Genomic DNA, 14355 nt, shown 5'->3' with positions numbered 1-14355 from the left:
CAAGGCTGGAGCGGCCTTATCGATGGCAGGTGACTATGGGAGCAGGTGGCTGAAGTTGGGGGTGGGCTTGTGTTTTTCCGTGTCCATGAAGGACAAGGACCAGCGGAGGGCAGAGGGTCTGTATGACTGTCTTCCGGCTTCCAGGCTGGGGCACACTTCTCACCAGGCATCTGAGCCTAGGCTGAGCTGTTTAGAGTGCCCCCAGGGGATGGGAGAGGCTCTGAGGAAGCCTGGTGCCTGGGGTAGAGGACAGTCATGCTCCTGGAGGCAGCAGAAGGAAGACACTCGTCTCTGGGGAAGACCGCAGGCTCCCATGGGGGTCTAGAAGCTCCTGGAGACCACTGGGGAATTCAGGTGCAGCCAATATCCAGTCTGTTCAAGCAGCACAGGTAGGCTCACAACAGGGCCTGGTTGTGCTTCCCACCTAATGCTCCCCGGACTGTCAGAGGACAGGGTGGTGCCAGCCTGAGTCAGTGTCCTGAGGGATGGGGAAAGTCCCTTCGTGGTGCAAGGCAAGGCTTGCCTCACACCCTCACAAAGCTGAGCGGTTTCCAGAAGGGCTAGATGGGGGCCGGGAAAGAGTCTGACCCCCAAGGGCCTCTCCTTAGAACTGTGACTGCCAAACCCTTAACCTCCAGGTGTGACAAAGAGCTCAGGTAACCAGTGCATGGAGCACCGTCATTTGAACCACATCACCTTCCCAGGAAGCTCCAAGCAGTTAAAATTTCCTTATAAATTGTAACTCTGCACGTGGATTCTTATGGCATATCCTTTGCTATTTACACCACTCAGGAGCTGGTTTTGCCATAATCTCTTTTTTTTTTTTTTTTTTTCCAGTTTAGTTTGAACTCCTGACGCCTTGGTATGGGAGAGCGGAGCATGTCTTTTCATTCAGAGGTCACTTGATATTTTGCAGCAGCAGGCCGGGGGTGGAAGGGTGCGGGCGTCCTGCGTGGCGCCCGAGTGACAGGCCCTGGCTTCCCACAGGTGCGCGCAGGCGCTGCTGGAGCACGGGGCCTCGGTGCAGCGCGTGGGCGGCACGGGCCGGGACACGCCGCTGCACGTGGCGGCGCAGCGCGGCCTGGACGAGCACGCGCGCCTGTACCTGGGCCGCGGGGCGCACGTGGACGCGAGGAACGGCCGCGGAGAGACGGCTCTGAGCGCGGCCTGCGGTGCGGCGCGGAGGCCCGACGAGCACGGGCGCTGCCTGCGCCTGTGCGCGCTGCTGCTGCGGCGCGGGGCGGAGGCGGACGCGCGCGACGAGGACGAGCGCAGCCCGCTGCACAAAGCCTGCGGCCACGCGAGCCACAGCCTGGCGCGCCTCCTACTGCGGCACGGCGCCGACGCGGGCGCGCTCGACTATGGCGGGGCCTCGCCGCTGGGCCGCGTGCTCCAGACCGCATCCTGCGCTCTCCAGGCCTCACCGCAGCGCACGGTGCAGGCGCTGCTCAACCACGGCTCTCCCACCGTGTGGCCCGACGCCTTCCCCAAGGTAAGGCAGGATCCAGCCCGGCTGGCACGTGCCCTGGAGTTTTGCCACTTAGTGACCGGCCTGGGAGCTGGGTTGCATGCGGCGCTCTCAAAGTGTAATGGCCCAGGCACCCCTGGGGACTTGTGAAAATGCAGAATCTGCTCTGCCGGTCTGGGGTGGGAGAGCCTGCATTGCCAACAAGCTCCCGGGTGTGGCCTAGACTGCTGTTCCTGGGACCCCATTTTGAGGAACAGGGGCCTAGAAGCCTTCTGGTTAGAGCCACGAGACAATTAAGGGGTTGCATGTGAAGAATGCATCCTTTCAAAGTAGTCACCTGGGGACGGACGCCAGGCACTTATTTCGATGATGCAGTCAGAGCTCAAAATATTTTGGCAGCTCATCATCAGTGTCATTTTCAGAACGATGAAAATCAGTCTTTTGCCACATCTGGCATTTGATCTGAAACAAAATTACCCAATCTGATCATCCACCTTGTTAATGAGAGTGCTTCGTACATTTGCAGACTTCTCTCATTCGGTCCTCACCACATTGCAGTGAAACACGAGAGGCAGGTGATATTCTCCCTCTACCTGGGGTTCGGTCAGGTGAAGTGCCCTGCCCAGGTCATTGCAGTGTTGGGACCTCACCCCCATTCTGCTGGCTCACCCTTGCAGACTTGACTCTGAACAACTCATCCTTGTTCCACCCGTCAGATCTACCCTGAAATAATAATGATAAAGAATAAAGATTTCTCACCTCAGAAAATAACCCAAAAGACTGAAAATGTTTCCAAAATATTGGCTGGAGTAACAGGTTGTCCTCCCGAAAAGACTTCATTGAAGGGAAGTCATTCCATTAGATGTAAAATCCGGGTGTGTTTAATTTAAAAATTATCTCCATCAACCAAGACTCATCACTCATAGACATAAGACATATTTTGGCCTGATTAGTTTTGAACAAATAGCTGAAAAGCTAATATTCAAAAGTACAGTGTTCTCAGTGGTCTGAACCATCGAGAAGTGAGATTCACTCATTTCTCTCAAATGCTAACTTTCCATTATAGATGCGTTCAGAGTAGACTGTGCCTCTGAAAGGTTAGAAAATCCCCCGAGACAACTCCCCTAGTGTTTGCTCACTTGACAAACAGGATGGCACTTTCCCGATGCTGTCTCACCCCCTCTTTGGGTAATTGTCTTGTGGTGCTCCACTAAGGCAATGATTTCAATATAGTGGACTCCTGAAAGGGAAGAAATGCTAGCATTTTTATGTTCTGTGACAGCTACCTTTTATATTTATAATTTACATTTTAATGTTTCCCATCATTAGCAGGCTTAGTTCATCAACTTATAACATGGAAACAAGACTCACTGCCCTTCCCATGCACACTGTGTCTGCATTAAACCAACACACACTTCAGCCCTTGTCATATGCAACTGCATAAAGAATGAAAAGAGGCCAGGCATGGTGACTCACACCTGTAATCCCAGCACTTTGGGAGGCTGAGGCAGGAGGATCACTTGAGTCCAGGAGTTTAAGACCAGCCTGGGCAACATAGCAAGATCCTATCTCTACAAAAATTTTTTTAAAAAAATTAGCAGGGCCTGGTGGCATGCACCTGTAGTCCCAGCTACTCAGGAGGCTGAGGCAGGAGGATTACCTAAACCCAGGATGTGGAGGCTGCAGTGAGCTGTGATAGCAACACTACACTCCAGCCTGGGTGATAGAGCAAGACCCTGTCTCCAAAAAAAGGAATGAAAAGAGAAAACAAAGTTACAGGATGGGCCAAAAGGGGAAAATATCTGGGCCAATTATTTTTTTCTGACTTACTTATTCAGGGAAGAATGGGGCAATTTATTTTAAAGAAAAAAAAAGGAGTCAATATATTTCAGTAGCGACTAGAAATAATCCTTTGTTAGCCTTGAAATTGTTTCAATTTGAGTGATCTCTGACCAGGCTTTCAAATCCTAGGGGCAGCCCCACAGGCATCATTTCTAGGAACAGGACCTCTGACCCCTGGACTCTGTTTCCAAGGCTGTAGAAATTACACTGCCTTGACTAGAGATGCAGGACAAAGCACAGCACCTCCTCTCTAGGTGCTCAGGGGCCCTGTTCTGGGATGGGATCCCCAGTACTATGTCAGCCACACAGAAATGGGGTCAGTCAGTGGTGCAACTCATCCTCCATTCAGGTTGGGGGTAGGTTTAGATTTGTTGTACCTGGGGGCCAAAAAGCCATGGGAAGTGCTTGACAAGGAATCTTGTCAGTTCCCACCCATCCTGGAAGGAATTGGAGTTTTCTTGAGAAATCTTAATACCTTGAGGCTTTTGCAAAAAGCGTTGCCCACCGCTGCCTCCCTGAACATGGCGCCTGCAAGCACAGACCTTCCATCAGTGTTTGTTGAATGAATGAAAGGGATTCCAGCCACTGCAGGCTCATGGCCTGCATTAAATCTTTGGAAATAAGGATTCCACCTTTTTGCACTGGGATTCCCCCACACCTCCAGTGGGTACCCCTACACCTGGCCAGGAGAGGATGGTGGATGAGGATGCATTCACCATGCTGAGAATCCCACAAGCAAAGGCAGCAGTGCCTGTAATGTTCTAGCTTGGTCCCCACAACCGAAGCAAAACTCTGTGGAAAGCTAGAGGCAGCCTCTTCCTCCACCCAGTCTCCCTGCAATCGCTCCTCCAGGGACGGCATCTAATCATGTGCGACATCAAAGCAACAGACGCTGCAGCCAGCCACAAAGATGCTGGGCAGGCACCACACGGGCGCCATGGCGAGCCGAGCGTAGAGTCACCAGCACTGTCACAGGGCAAGCCGTCCGTGGGCAGCAGCCGTACTGTGAATAGATGTAAAGAGACACCCATGGAGCGCAGAATTACCGAGGCAAAAGGTTTCACAGCGAGCTTATGACATAAATCACAGCTCCCCATGCCCAGACAAAGGCACCATCGTCGCGGCAGGCGGACACAGGGCATCCTTCCGAGCCGGCGCAGTGCTCTGCAGTGAGAATCAAAGTAGTGTCACGGCTTCGGAAGCCCACGTGTTGACAGTGCCAGGCCTTTCTGCCTGGCTGACCGCTAGTTAACACTGGGGGCAGGGACAGGGCACCGAGGGCAGGCATAGGGGGCAGGCTGTGGATTCTGGCAGGTTTGGATTCTGGAAGATGTCAGGGCAGGCTGGGGCTGGGCCTGTTGGACAGCAGGTAGGAAGGCAGAGAAGCACACACAGACGTGGACCTGAACTTGTTTGGCATCTGCCACAGGTGACTTTTTGGGCTGGATGCTTGGTCTGGATAAAAGGCTGTGCTCAGGGGTCTCTCTCCTTCAGCCTCTCCTTACCTGGAATACGAATCTGTGAAACAGTCATGAAGTCCCATGTGATCTTTTTCCAAGGAAGCACTACTTTGCTCTTCTCTCCTCTTTGAGGAGCACATTTCTGGTTTGACCCCAGAAAATGATGGAGCATCAAAGCGTGTGGGAAGATGTAAGTCCAGCCCCGCTCCAAGATGGGACACAGAGCTGACAGTAGCAGCACGCAGCCAGGGCTCAAACCCCTGCCCTCCACTGCCTCCTTCACAGGTGTTCCTTTGGGAACCTCCTTGATTCACCGCTCAGTTTACATGGCCAGCTTTATTTGTCCCTGGATGTCACCTGACACCCGTCCATGAACACTTTTCATTTGCAGTCAGCATGCGTGGCCAGCACATTCCAGCCCCTCCTACCCTGTCTCCTATTTTGTGCTATTTCCCAAAGGCCTTCTGTTTCCTGTGGTGCAGAGGCCAGCAGCAGCCCGGGAAAACGCACCTGCAGGTGACTGTAAAGAGTTCAGACTCTCACCTGGCAGAGGAGATGCCATGATCACAAAGGTGGTTTTCTCAGGGTGAGACTTATGGATTGCATTCCGGGTCTGATGACCCGCACGGTTTTCCCAGATATGAGAAACTCATAGATGCAGAAACTGCATAATTTATGGTTGAGAGGGACTGCATTTCTACTTTACCCTGTGTAAAAATGAAATACTAATAATACTTCAGACTCATACTTGTCCACCAGTCGGGGAAGTGCAGGGACAACACCAGTAATGAAGGATTTCCCCCAAGTCATGTAGGCATCGGCTATGCTTCCCACGGGCATCCCTTTAGTACTTATGTATTCATTCAACAAACATTTTGGGGGAACTTGGGTGCTTGGTACTGGAGTCACAGTGAGGAGCAGGAGCATGTGTATTTCCCACCCTGGTGGAGCTGCCTGTCACGTGGATCAGACAAGTACACACACTAAGGTGAAGTTGCCATGGTGAGAAGTGCTGCAAAGCCGAGGCTCACTTCACCTTGAAAGCACAGAACAGGGGTTTCACCTGGCTGGGGGGCAGGGTCCAAGGCTCCCTCAAGTGTGTGATGAGTGAGCCGAGATCTGAAGGCTGAAGGCTTATCTTTGTGAAGCGGGGGACAAACATTCTAGACAGACGTCCTGGGCAAATGTCCTGGAGCAGGACAGGCACGGCAATGTGTGCAGTTGGAAAAATGAGCTAGTCGTTGGAGAGGAAACAGCTAGGGGGCACCAGTTGAGACTAGGCAGCCAGGCAGGGCCTTAAGGGCCTGGGCCTCTGACTTTGGAATATTGGGAGTTGATTACATCATTTTCAAGGAAGGAGATGACATCATCCAATCAGTATTTTGGAATTTCTAAGCTCGACGTAGAGAACACACCAGGTAGGGGGCTGATGGAAACCACAGGCTGTGGTGGCAGTCCAGGTAAGGGATTCACATAGCTTGCATGGGGGATGGAGGTTGGTGCAAGAATAACAGATTCTAGGCCAGAGGCAATAGCTCACGCCTATAATCCTAGCACTCTGGGAGGCACAAGGATGACTTGAGCCCAGCAGTTTGAGACTGGCCTAGACAACATAGTGAGACACCATCTCCACAAAAAATTAAATTACCTGGGCATGGTGGCATGCAACTGTAGTCCCAGTTACTCAGGAGGCTGAGACAGGAGGATTACCTAAACCCAGGGGGTGGAAGCTGCAGTGAGCCATGATTGCAATACTACACTCCAGCCTGGACGACAGAGCAAGACCTTGTCTTAAAAAAAAAAAAAAAAAGCAGATTCTAGAAACATCTGCAAATCTCTGGTCTTGTCTCAGCTTCTGGGCACTAACCATACTGAAAATGGAGACCTAAAGTTTTCATGTTTTCTTTTTACCTAATTACTAAATCAGGTAAAGGGACTTCGCTTATCCCAATTCCACAGGATTTTTAGTGGGAGATTTCTGGAGTAGCAGTAGTCAAAAACCAGGGCTCCCCCTCCCATCTTCACAGAGTTGCGTGCACCCAGTCCCCAGTGGGAGGAGAGAGGGGAGATCATAAGTAGGGCGCCTGTGTTTTTCTTGCTGTCGTTTTATTTCTCCATCTACATATAAAGCAATGTGCCTGTGTGATTTTTCCCCTTAATTTTCTTTCTGCCGCCTCATTAGCTGAAGAGAGTGTGGTGTGCGTGGACACTAATGACATCAGCATGTCAGAGTAATGTGGCAGCCGCCTCTCCGCAGACAGCAAGGAGGCCGCGGAGATTTTTAAACTGTGTTGGCGTAAAAATAATGAAGGCAGCCAGCTGCCTGGCAAACATGAGGGGGCACGATGCAGAGGACGGGGAGGGGCAGGGAGCCCCAGAGAGGTGGAACAGAGGAGAGACAGAAAATGAATTCCCAGAGACAGGCAATAAGACTCTGTCACAGTCTGTGACCCGGTGGGGGAGGGGCGGGAGGAGGTGGTGCTTTTGCTCTAATGGAGGGCACCTCTTCCCAGGGTGGGGCATGTCCGGGTTACCTGCAGTCCCTGGGAGCCATTTAACATTTTGCAGAGAAGTGACAGGGCCAGTGGGAGGGTCGCTGGAGGTTTGCAGTGAGCAAGACCTGAGCATCGCCTAGGGTACCAGATAAATAGCAGCAGACTCCATCCCGAGGGGTCCAGCGTGAGTCCTTCTTAATGGCGTGATTTTTTTCCCAACACAGAAGGGGATGATTGAAATCAGAGACTGCCGTGCACGAGGAAATGGCATGTTAGTGGGGCTCGTGTGAGCCAGAAATATCAACATGTGTGGGGCGCAGAGAGGGACAGGGCTGGCGAGATGGGCTGGGAAGACCGTGCTGGCCCCAGGCCTCCTGCCAGGCACTCCCTCTGTGGCTTGGTTTCTCCGTGTCTCCGTGTTCATGCTCTGTCTCTCTCTTTCCGTAAAGCCTGCCAAGCCTGACTCAGTGACAGTAATGGATGAGAACAAAAATAATTGGGCATGGGGAGGGGACCACCGATAATAGCTCTTATGATGTCGATATGATGCCCAGTCTAGAAAGAACAGCTCCTGTCCTCCAAAAGATAGCTTTGAAGGCACAGATGAGAGGAAGGAAGAAAGAAAAGGAGGGAAAGAGAGAGAGGAAATCCACAGCAACAAGGCAACCTCATGTCTGAGTCTAGGAAGACCCAGACCCAATGTCCTTCTGCTGCACGGCCGTAAGTTTCCAGGCTGTCAGGCAGACATTACCAAAAAAAAAAAAAAAAAGTCAGCCAGGCAGTGGGGGAAGCCTGTGAAGCCACAGTAAAGTGCAGATGTGAAAATCGGGGGAACCCAGCTTTCAGAGCAACTTGCCAACTGCCAGGAAGAGGGTAGCAGGAAGAAGCCTCCAGGCCGAAGCTCAAGTCCACCGGGCAAACCGTCCAACCGGGAACGGGGCTGGGCCAGGCCCTCGTCCCCCTCCCTCCACGTCTCCCGGCTGGGCACAGAGTAGGACCACAGACTTCCCCTGCATGTTGGCAAAATTTGCATCTGGTTCTCTCCTTAATCAAAGACTAATAAAGAGAAAAAGGAATAGATTCATGGGGGAAAAGAGGACAAACCGAAAAATAGAACAGCATCCAGAAAACAGGAGATCCAAGAAAATCTCAGAAAGTATGTGCCATCCTCTATGGAGTACAAGAAGACATAGCTTGTGGGATTCATCGAAACAGTACTGGTTAAGATGAAAACTCAATAGAATGACATGAAAAGGAAGATGGAGGAGATAGTTACACCAAGAAACTAACAGCACAGTCAGATTGAAGTATACACTAAAGAAGGAAAAGGCAGAGTTGATTCATAAAGAAAGAATCAAATCCGTGCTGGGCCATTGGCCCGTGTGCCCTCAGACCCTTTCCTGCTGTTCCTGGGTCCTGCTCTGCATCCTGGGTGACAGGGGGAAAGGGAAAGCCCCCTCAAGCTGCACTCAGAGCCCCCATCAGCTGGCTTCTAGTCGGACTCAGCCAATGGGAGACACCATGGGAAACGAGTGTGGAGGAAGAAAGAAACCAGGGTATTTCTCTCTTTTGTCTCTGTCTTGTGTAGCTTCACCAGCAGCACCTGCATCGTCTCTGTGACACCAACACCCACCAGACAGTCCCTCCCTTCATGGCCCCAGTCCCCAGTGGGTAGCCCCTGACTCAACTTGCTTCCAGCGGATGGCCCTGGTCTCTGGACTCTGATTAGACTACCTCATCCCACTATCCCACCAACTCTTAAGAGTAATGACAGCTTTCTATTTCGCTAATCTCTAGGCTACTTCACCTTCCCCTTGTTGGAATCTCAGCAGTTTGATTACCTACGTAACCAATTCCATGTGTAAAGTTGTTTCTGGTTGAAATACCTAGAGTGGTTTCCTTTGCCTGATTGGACTCTGATACAGGTGGTTTAAATCACAAGTAGCAGAAAACCCAATTCAAACAGGTTTAAATAAGGAAATGCATCTTTTTATCTCATATAACAGTAAGTGCAGAAGTAGCAGGCTTCAGAATTGGTTGTTTCAGTGTCTGGATGATGTCCTCAAAGAACCTGGTGCTTCCCAACTCTCTGCTCTGCCAACCTCAGTGAGTCAGCTTTGTCCTCAGAATGCCTCCCTCATGGTCACAAGATGGCTTCCAGCAACAATGGGCCCGTTTCCTTGTTCATATCCTGTTGTTCCTTTTTTCTAGAAACCCTGAGGAGGTGTCCTCAGTTGGCTTAAACCTACCCTTCTCTGAACCAATAACTGGCAAAGGAGATTGGTTTACCATGATTGGATTAAACTAATCATCTGAATTGTTGGAAAGTCAACCTCAGTGTTCACTATAATGAAATACTAATGACAAAAACTATTCTTAAGTGCAAAAAAAAAAAAAACCCAAGAAACTAAAAGAGAAAGTGATGGTAATAAAGGATAGAGAGCCAACCCACAGATAAGTGATGTTACTGCAGAAGGAGCCTAGGACAAATGGATCAGAAATAATAACCAAAGACATAATAGAAGAAAACTTAGCTGCACTGAAAGTCTTAACTTTTGGTTGGCAATCGAAAAGGGTGTTCTCTGCAAATCAATGACAGGAGGCACATACCTATATACATTCTAACAAAAATGTTCTAAAAAGACATGGAAAAATCTGGCAAAGTATTTAAGCAGAAAACAGGCTATTCATAAAGGAATAAAAACCAGGCTGGACTCAGATGTTTCTGCTGTAATAGTAACATAAGACAATGAAATATCATCCACCGATTTTGAAAGGAAAATTTGGACACTAGAATTTTAGACTCAGTGAAGATACTTTCATTTTGATGATGAAAGACACTTTTAGATATCAAGGGTTCATAAAACATGCCTTTCTAATGCATTTTCTGAAAAAGAAAAAATACTTCAATTATTTATCAAAAAGTATTTGCTGAGCACCAGTCATGTCCCAGCAATATACTAGGCACATAGGATAAGTGAGTGAACAGATAAGGGGAAAGAAGTATTCCTGCCTATGTGGAGCTTACATTCTAATGGGGAAGACAGGCATTAAATATTGAGCATGATCAACAGACCAAAAAAGTGATAAGGACTATAGAGAAATTAAAAGGGTGGAAGGCAGTTGCAATTTTAAGTCAGGCAGTTAGGGTCAGTGACTGCTGAACAAAGACTTGAGAGATGTGAGGGACCCACTGTGTGGATGTCTGGGGAAGAGCAGCCCAGCAGAGGACCAGCCATCTGTAGCCTAAGGCTGGAGTGGGCCAGCCCTGCGCACAGAACCACAGGGGACCAGTGTGGCCGGAGATGGAAGGAGCTAGTGGGATGGGAGTAGGAGATGAGATTAGGGGTGGTAAGGGAGAGGGCACAGGTTGTGTGGGGTCTTACAGGACATTGTAATGACTTTGACCATTGGAGGGATTTGAGCAGAGGAGTGACGCAATCCAACAATATTTTGTAAAGATCCTCCTCTTAACATCTGCCATGTTAAGCAGATGCTTGAGAAAGAGGAGAACAGATGTCGAAAGATGAGTTAGGAGGGTGTTGCTGTGATTCACAGGAGGGGTGATGGTGGTGTGGACAAGGGAGGCGATCTGACCCTGGATATATTTTGGAGGTAGAGCCAACAGGATTTTTTAACAGATGGGATGTGGAGTGTAGGAGAAACAGGAGCAATGGACGACTCTGATTCTAGCCCAAGAGACTGCAAGAATGAGTTTGCTATCACTTGGGAATGGGGCAGGTTATGGGTGGCACAGCAGGTTGGGACCTGGTGAACAAGGGAGTTCAGTTTTTGGTATGTGGAGTGTAGGAGAAACAGGAGCAATGGATGACTCTGATTCCAGCCCAAGAGACTACAAGAATGAGTTTGCTATCACTTGGGAATGGGGCAGGTTATGGGTGGCACAGCAGGTTGGGACCTGGTGAACAAGGGAGTTCAGTTTTTGGTATGTTGAGTGTGGGATACAGCCAGGTGTAGCTACAATGTAAGCAGCTGGATATCGAAGCCCAAAGTTTGAGAGGGAGAGATTTGGCCAACCTGGAGATATACCTTTGAGGGTCAGTGACAAAGGATGGTATTTAAAGCCAGGAAACCAGATAAGATCACCAGCAAGTGAGAGTAAACGGAAAAGAGGAACAGGCCTGAATGCAGGGATGGTCGAACATCTGAAGGACGGAGATGAGACAGCAGCTAAGGAAACCGAGGAGGGGCAACCAGTGAGGTGGAAGGAATGAGAGCACACCTTCCTCAAAGCCAAGTGAAGGCTGCATTGAGGTGGAAGACATCGTCAACATGTCAGGCGTGGCTGACACAGCAAGTAAAGTGAGGCAGAGCATGGACCACTGGCGAGGCAGAGCCTGGGCCAAGAGCAGCATTGGTGCCATTGGTAAGGACAGTATGGGGGAGTGGCTGGGGCTAATGGCCCATTGAGGTAGATGTACTCCAGCTGACAAAGAGATAACACTAACGAAGAGCTCAGGAAGGGGGAAATCCATCCCCAGATTCTCCCCACTCTTCCCCCTAAATATATCTCAAAATCTCCTACCCTCCTGACTGCCACCACCTGAGGTGAGGCCACCACCATCTCTCCCCTAGATGGACACATCTTCTTCACTGGGCTCTCTGTCTCCTCTAAACTATTCCCCAGATCCAGCCTTGGTGATATGTCCTTGTTTGGTTGGTTGGTTGGTTGGTTGGTTGGTTTGGTTTGGTTTGGTTTTTGAGAGGGGGTGTCACTCTGTTGCCTAGGCTGGAGTGCAGCAGTGCAATCATAGCTCACTGCAGCGTCGACCTTCCAGGCTCAAGCAATTCTTCCACCTCAGTCTCCTGGGTAGCTGGGATTACAGATGCACACCATCACACCCAGCTAAGTTTTTGTATTTTTTGTAGAAACAGGGTTTCTCCATGTTGCCCAGGCTAGTCTCAAACTCCTAGACTCAAGTCATCTGCCTGCCTTGGCTTCCCAAAGTGCTGGGATTACAGGCATGAGCCACCACACCCAGCCTTGGTGATATTTCTAAAATTAAAATCAGACCCAGCCTCTCCTCCACTCATACCTGGCAAGTGCTCCCTGTGCCAGCCTCCTTCTCAGGCAGATAATGGACTCCATGGTCTTCCCTGCTTTCCTCTCCTGTTTCATTTCCGAGCACTCCCCATGTCAGACTCATGCCCCAGCCAACATTATTTGCTCCTTCTCACCTCCCAAACCTGGCATAATACGTTTTCTCTGCCTAGAACACTCTTGTCCCCAGAACTCTCCATGCCTTTTTTTCCCCCTGCTAACTCCTGCTCCAGAGCCAGGTCTCGGCTTGGATGTCACTTCTTCCAGAAATCTTCCCCTGAACTCCCCCTCATATGACCACAGCACTGTATTGTTGTTGTTATATTTGGGACTGTAAAGCTCTGTGAAGGTGGAGCTGGCCATCATAACATGCAGACATAACACAATCCCTGCTTTCTAGTAGGAGCTCGGCAAATACCTACAGAAGGGATGGCTTAAAGGACAGGTGGTGAGCATACAACCCAGCTATAACAGGGACAAATAATTGGGAAACACATTGTAAAACTAAATGCAAATACCAAAATTGTTACTGAAGGAGATACGCAATATAAATATGATCATATAATAATGACAACCTGGAACTAAAACTCCAGTATTATTAAGAAAGGAAGGGAGAAGAACTGGTTAAGAGAGAAATGTAAGAGAAAGGATGATGGCATATCCGGAACATAAAAGATACTATTTAGATTTTTAGAGAACTATAGGTGTGTGTATATATATATATATATATATTTTTTTTTTTTTTTTTTGAGACGGAGTCTCACTCTGTCGCCAGGCTGGAGTGCAGTGGCGTGATCTCAACTCACTGCAACCTCTGCCTCCTGGGTTCAAGTGATCCTCCTGCTTCAGCCTCCTGAGTAGCTGGGACTACAGGTGCATGCCACCACACTATGTTGGCCAGGATGGTCTCCATCTCTTGACCTCGTGATCTACCCGCCTCAGCCTCCCAAAGTGTTGGGATTACAGGCGTGAGCCACTGCATGAGGCCTAGGTTGATATTTTTTTTTATTTTGAAGGTAACTAATAGCATTTTAAAGACAATGCATACTTCCAAAATACGGAAGATGAATCCAAAGAAAATACAAACATGTACAACAGAACCGGAAAACAAAGGAAACAAGAAGCAGAAAACAAAAAGAATAAAGTGAGACCAGAGTGAGACCAAACGCTTGATTTATGATAATAAATGAAAATTGCTTAAACTACCCTGTTACCAACACAGACTCTCAAATACATTTAAAACAAAGTGAAACAAAAGGTTAAAATTTAAAAATGAGGCCAGGTGTGGTGGCGCACACCTGTAATCCCAGCGCTTTGGGAGGCCGAGGAGGGTGGATGACCTGAGATCAGGGGTTTAAGACCAGCCTGGCCAACATGGTGAAACCCCATCTCTACAAAAATACAAAAAAATTAGCCAGGCATGATGGCGGGTCCCTGTAATCCCAGCTACTCGGGAGGCTGAGGCGGGAGAATTGCTTGAACCCAGGAGATGGAGGTTGCAGTGAGCCAAGATCTCGTGATTGCACCCCAGCCTGGGTGACAGAGTGAGGCTCTGTCTCAAAAAAAAAATTAAAGAATGAGCAGAGATAATTCTGGCAAAAAAAAATGTACTTTTATATCAATATGCAAATAGAATTCCAAGGAAATACACAAAATGAGAGGGGAAAAAATATTCATTTGATATTGACCAAGGATATAACCCATAGTGAAAAGATAACCATTATAAACTTTATGTGCCAAAGAAGATTGTGTTAAAACAGAGAAAATGACTGAAAAATAATTTAGGTGATTCTTAATTCATATCTATCACAGACCAAGTGAGCCAAAAAAAAAAAAAAATGAAGTGCAGTAGCTCCAAATCATAAATGTGACAAACATATTTTGAACCAAATGAAATGTGACTTCTGCTAGTGCCAAAACAGACATTGTCTACAGCCATATTGCAATATACCAGAAAATTAATAGTAAAAAGTCTGTTCATTTTAAAAAATAACCATTTGAAAATGTTATAGCACACTCTCAAATAAC

The 14355-nt window shown here is 48.7% G+C and overlaps 1 protein-coding gene, 1 long non-coding RNA gene and 1 pseudogene across 2 annotated transcripts in view, besides 1 other annotated feature; 2 read left to right on the top strand and 1 right to left on the bottom strand.

Moving 5' to 3' along the window:
- ASB18 (ankyrin repeat and SOCS box containing 18) overlaps nucleotides 1–14355 on the top strand; it is a 70948-nt gene that overhangs the window by 48553 nt on the left and 8040 nt on the right. Inside the window, exon 4 of the mRNA NM_212556.4 lies at nucleotides 988–1492. Coding sequence (NP_997721.2) covers nucleotides 988–1492 — 505 coding nt within the window. The remainder of the gene's footprint in view (nucleotides 1–987; nucleotides 1493–14355) is intronic.
- Nucleotides 1629–14355, bottom strand: part of GBX2-AS1 (GBX2 and ASB18 antisense RNA 1) — a 46784-nt gene continuing 34057 nt past the window's right edge. The window contains exon 2 of the long non-coding RNA NR_186035.1: nucleotides 1629–2191. This is a non-coding gene — a long non-coding RNA (GBX2 and ASB18 antisense RNA 1). The remainder of the gene's footprint in view (nucleotides 2192–14355) is intronic.
- Nucleotides 5306–5481, top strand: RNU1-31P (RNA, U1 small nuclear 31, pseudogene; annotated as a pseudogene).
- Nucleotides 7347–7518: a silencer, noted in NCBI's record as "fragment chr2:237116979-237117150 (GRCh37/hg19 assembly coordinates)". NCBI's record gives its function as "represses an EF-1alpha promoter that drives an FKBP-Casp9 reporter gene in an ReSE screen in phorbol 12-myristate 13-acetate-treated (for megakaryocytic differentiation) K562 erythroleukemia cells {active_cell/tissue: K562(+PMA)}" and the evidence as "EXISTENCE:reporter gene assay evidence [ECO:0000049][PMID:32094911]".

The sequence above is a fragment of the Homo sapiens genome, chromosome 2, assembly GCF_000001405.40.
Source record: "Homo sapiens chromosome 2, GRCh38.p14 Primary Assembly".
NCBI lineage: Eukaryota > Metazoa > Chordata > Mammalia > Primates > Hominidae > Homo > Homo sapiens.
Note: the sequence above shows the minus strand (reverse complement) of the source record. Positions and strands in the feature narration are given on the sequence as shown.